At 45.9% G+C, this 4,792-nt stretch overlaps 2 annotated features.

Moving 5' to 3' along the window:
• Nucleotides 389-1,210: an enhancer, noted in NCBI's record as "H3K4me1 hESC enhancer chr5:114118375-114119196 (GRCh37/hg19 assembly coordinates)". NCBI's record gives its function as "activates a minimal SCP1, AML or CMV promoter by ChIP-STARR-seq in naive H9 embryonic stem cells {active_cell/tissue: H9 hESC(naive)}" and the evidence as "EXISTENCE:reporter gene assay evidence [ECO:0000049][PMID:30033119]".
• Nucleotides 1,211-2,034: an enhancer, noted in NCBI's record as "H3K4me1 hESC enhancer chr5:114117551-114118374 (GRCh37/hg19 assembly coordinates)". NCBI's record gives its function as "activates a minimal SCP1, AML or CMV promoter by ChIP-STARR-seq in naive H9 embryonic stem cells {active_cell/tissue: H9 hESC(naive)}" and the evidence as "EXISTENCE:reporter gene assay evidence [ECO:0000049][PMID:30033119]".

Below are 4,792 nucleotides of genomic sequence, written 5' to 3'. Positions count from 1 at the left end.
ATCCTCCTGACAACCCTTTAGGACAGTCACTATTATCCCATTGTCATGAAGGATGTGAAGCCAAGTCCTCTAGGTTCTCCAGCTCCTCTAGGAAAGTAACTTGGTTAAGGTCAGACAGCCAGTAAGAGGTATTAGGGCTTGAAGGCTGTCTACGAAATCAGCTGGTCTGCACAGCACCCTCTACTCCTTTTCTGAGAGTTCTGGATAAATAGGAGTTTGCTACATGTTGAAAGGCTTTGATACTTGTGAGGTCAGTCTTGTCACTGTTGTCATTTCTGTTCTTGCTAAAGAGTGATTTGGGTTAAGGTAAGGGCCTATAGATGGAATGACAGAGGGCCTGTGATCCGTTATCAAAACATATGAGGTCTGTGAGGAGAAAAGATGGGCCTTTGCAGGGAACTGATTCATCCTTGTTGACTAATGATTTTGGGGACTTCTGGTTCTTGAGTGCTCAGTTGACGTATGTCATGACCATAAGCAGGGTATAGGAAACAAAGGAAATGCCTTCTTGTAAAGCAGAAAGAGTACATGTTTGGAGACTGGCAGACCTGGGTTTTCTTTCCGTCTCCACTGTTTACTTGAATACCTGGAGTCTTGCTGTTTCCTCATGTTGTCAACAGAGATGAGAACACTGACCATACTGGGATGCAGAGGATGGGGCACAGAGCAGGCAGCCCAGACAAATGCTAGCTTCCTTTCCCTTGCTTGTTCAGCATCTGATGTAAGCCCTGAAAGGTCCGGTCAAAAGCTCCCCCTGCAGGATATTTGGCTAGTGCGGAGAGGGCCATGCCAGCTTCTCCATCCCCTGGACTCCGGAAAGCGGAGACCTCCTTGGCCAGCAGTGTGGCCTGCTGAGCCCACTGACGCAATGGCTCGGGCAGAAGGCCCAGCTCTGCCTGGCCTTTTGCCTGGGCTACTTGAGTCAAAATGCAGGGGGCAGGAGGCCTGGCTGGGGAGATCCAGAGGCCTATGGCCGGCTCTCCTCTTCAGTTCAAGGCCTCCGTCTCCATGCTCAAAGGGATACTGAGACTTTCGCAGAAGTGAAATAGGAGAATTGGTGCCAAATATTTGTTCCTCATTCTTCCTGGATGATTTAATTTTGTGTTGTAGTATAAAGACAGGTGAGCAGTAAAGCCATTCCTGAGACACCATCAAAATTAGCAATTTGTCTCCTGGTCCAGGGCTGCAAAAGAGCAAGGAAGCTACAGTTTCACAGTTTTTGGTATTCTTTAGGGCAGAGTAAAAAGTCCTGGTCTCAAAATATTTTCAAAGTCTTTCCTCTTCTCTCTCTGCCTGGCTCTGAGGTAACAGAGGAACCTGGAGCATATGTTCCATATTGATTTGCATTTGCACACTTTCCTGCATCCATTATCTCACCTCATTAGGGTTTGGAAGGGGAAGCGGAGCCGAGTGTGGCAGCAGCATGCGCTTTCCTGAGCCCTGTGGAGAATTGTCCCAAGCAGTAAATGAAACAGTTGCAAGGGCCGGCCAGGAGCCTGTGGGTGGGCGGGCATCTCCGGGCTCGGGCCCAGCAGTGCCCAGCCAGTTTCGAAGGGTCCAGCTGTGCCCAAGTCACATGTCCCAGTGAGGGAGCATCCCAGGCCAGGCAGCTCCATGATTGATGATCCTGCCTGAGCTCAGAGTCTGCACAAGGCCCTGTAGACCCCATGTGCCTGCTCTCCTTTGGCAGTGAAGCTAATGATTAAGGTAAAGTAGCTCTCCTTCTTTCACTAATGGGAAAGACTAAAATTGACCACCTTTTAAAAGAGAGAGTGGATAGAACCTATTGTATTACCCTTAATGAAGATGGCTTAAGGAAATTCCCAAGGTCAGGGCTGGTCAAGAAGCAGGAGGAGAGGCATGGTGATAGAGTGGGGAGGTGGGCAACTTGCCTATGTCACTTTCAACTTTCATGTACCCTTCGAATTTCTGATCCAATGAGGTTTTAGGTTCATTTGTATTTTGTAAGTGTATTAAAAAGTGTGTGTGTGTGTGTGTGTGTGTGTGTGTGTAAAGCAACCAGACCATTAAAATACAAGTATGTATATCTATATGCTGAGGCCTCACTAGACCTCCCAGCATCCCTGCCTGGGGCTACCTTCAAATGTCCATGTAAGCGTCAACTTTGCTTCTTTGATGTCTTATGTTTTGCTTCTGAGACTTCTCTCTTTCTCTCCTTGAGTGGAGACCTGGTTTCTATACATGGCTCTACCATTCATCAGCTGTGTGAACATGATCAAACTGTTTACCATTCCTGTGACTCAGTTTCCTTATCTGTTGAGTAGATGGCGCCATATTGATCCAGTTGTTGAGGTTTGGTAAAAGCAAAATGAGAAAACAATATCTGCCAAAGTGTTTTTATGGTGTTAAAGTGTCATGCAAAAGTGGAGTGGTTATTATTTGGTCATGAATAGAGCCATTTTTTCTTGCCTGTGAAAAATTATCTTTATTGATTATCTATTAAATTTTTTTCCTGAAAGAAATCTGGATTAGCTCTGGCATACCGTAGGCAAAGCATGCTGAGACCAAAAGTTATTCTTTGGGACAAAAAGCCCCTTATAACCATCTCCAAGGCACAAGAAGTACGCAAATTCAGGGCTTACTGAAGGAGTGCTATATAACAAGTGTTTGGTTATCTTGCCTGCATCCGGAATGGAAAGTGGGAAATGAAACATTTGCTGACTTACCCAGTGGTCCCAATGAGAACAGAGGGAAAGGTCCAGGCTGAAGAAATGTAAAGAAGATGCACAGAGAATCTGTGGCAAGAGGTGAGTTCCAATCAGCTGTAGGGTCATGGCATGACCCAGGCTCAGGGTGGCAGAACATCATTTCATAGATCTTGATTTCCGTTTAACCAATCAGGAGTTGTCAGGACTGCTTTTCACCCTATATCCCCCAAGGAAGGTTTCTCATGCATATGTGTTTCATCAGCTCTAAGTTAAGTGGTTCACAGTGCCATTTGCTTTAAGGTAACTTGAAAAGAAATAATTAGGCCCTAGAACACACAGTACAGAAAAGTGGGGTGGATTAGAAATTAAAATCATGCATCAGGATGAAAACGGTTTACCCTCATGGAAAGAAATACTCTGCCAACTGTTCCCATATACTTTTCTTTCAAACATCCCCTCATTACCATTTTAAAACATGTGCTTATTCAACTGCTCTCTGTTTCTGCAACTTGGAAAATAAAGTTGATAATAAAGTATTAGCCCCTATGTCCTAGTTCAGGTGCAAGGCATACTGGATCTTTGACAACTCAAGACTTGAGAGGGTGTACAGGAGAAAGAGGGGAAGGAGAAGCCAGTTACAGAATCTGGAAACCATCAATACCAGATCCTCAATGGGGAATGGGCATAGCAGTGAGGAATATAGGGAAATCCTTGAAAATCTGCTGACTAGGCTGGCTGTGATTGCTGTCCCTCGCAGGGGGATCACCCTGTCTTCAGTTTGGAAGGTGGGATTTTATCCTAGAAGAGGATTCTGGAAGACAATACAGAGGCAGAGTATCTAAACCCAATCAAAAGTACTGGGTCCTGGGTTGGACTTGGGTATTAGGGCAGCAGGCTGCACAAAAAAGACAGCTGATGCCCGTGGCCTTCTGGAATCCAGACACTAAAGCAGCACTTGGCTTAGGGGCCACATACAAGCTTTGGCTTGGCCCTACTGAGATTAGGCTGGCATTGGGGGAGTGGGGTCCACTTGGCAGACAAAACAAATACCAGCTATCTTGCTGGGGCTACTAGTAATAGTTCAAACCCCTATTGGCTGGCGCTATTTACTGATTGGATTAGGAATTGGGGCCACCTGAATCTGAAGGATGGTGACTTGAGGAGATGCTTCCTTGGCTGGGTGTGGTGGCTCACCCCTGTAATCCCAGCACTTTGGGAGGCCGAGGCCGGTGGATCACCTGAGGGCGGGAGTTCGAGACCAGCCTGGCCAACACGGCAAAACCTCGTCTCTACTAAAAATACAAAAATTAGCTGGGAGTGGTGGCAGGCACCTGTATTCCCAGCTACTTGGGAGGCTGAGGCGGGAGAATGGCTTGAACCCTGGAGGTGGAAGTTGTGGTGAGCCGAGATCACACCATTACACTCCAGCCTGGGCAATAAGAGCAAAACTCCATCTCAGAAAAAAGAAAAAGAAAAAGAAAAAAAAAAAAAGGAGAGAGAGAGAGATGCCCGTACCGGGACTTGGAGAAGACAGAGGCTGAGCTTTGCGGATAATATGACTCCCTTAAATATTATTTGCTGTTATTCAAGGACGGAGTTATAAAGCAGAGGAAGTTTCCTCTTTGGAATCATCTCTAATACTTTTAACACTGCCTTAGATGAAGAGGGGATATGGATTGGCTCTGAGAGAACTTTACCTTTTCACCCAACCCACCTATGATCATTTTCATGGGTTTGCTAAGTAGGTGGCTGGACTCAAGAGTAGTCACTTAACACGGCATATAGAAAAGCTAATGGGTTCAAATGGGACTTTTGGCCTTAACCTCATTAACTTCAGCCACCAGTCAGTTGAGCCTAACTCTCTCCCCTTGGTGGGAGGTAGTTTTGATAGCTGCTGATGCTTTGAGGAGACAGAAACAGTGTGCACGAGAGTACTATCATAATTGGGGAAGGGGATTGCTTAGGAAGGGAATTGAGCACAGGGTATGGAAGGGGCCATTGATCAGCATTGTGTAAATAGCAGGGCTTTGTTTGGAAGTAATAGGGAATGTGAAGCCACAAAACTTTACTTTTGAATTTCTGAAGGGGAGAAGTCAGTCTTGTTTGAAAAGGATTTTTGGGTT

This window comes from Homo sapiens, chromosome 5 (genome assembly GCF_000001405.40).
Source record: "Homo sapiens chromosome 5, GRCh38.p14 Primary Assembly".
In the NCBI taxonomy this organism is placed as follows: domain Eukaryota; kingdom Metazoa; phylum Chordata; class Mammalia; order Primates; family Hominidae; genus Homo; species Homo sapiens.
Note: the sequence above shows the minus strand (reverse complement) of the source record. Positions and strands in the feature narration are given on the sequence as shown.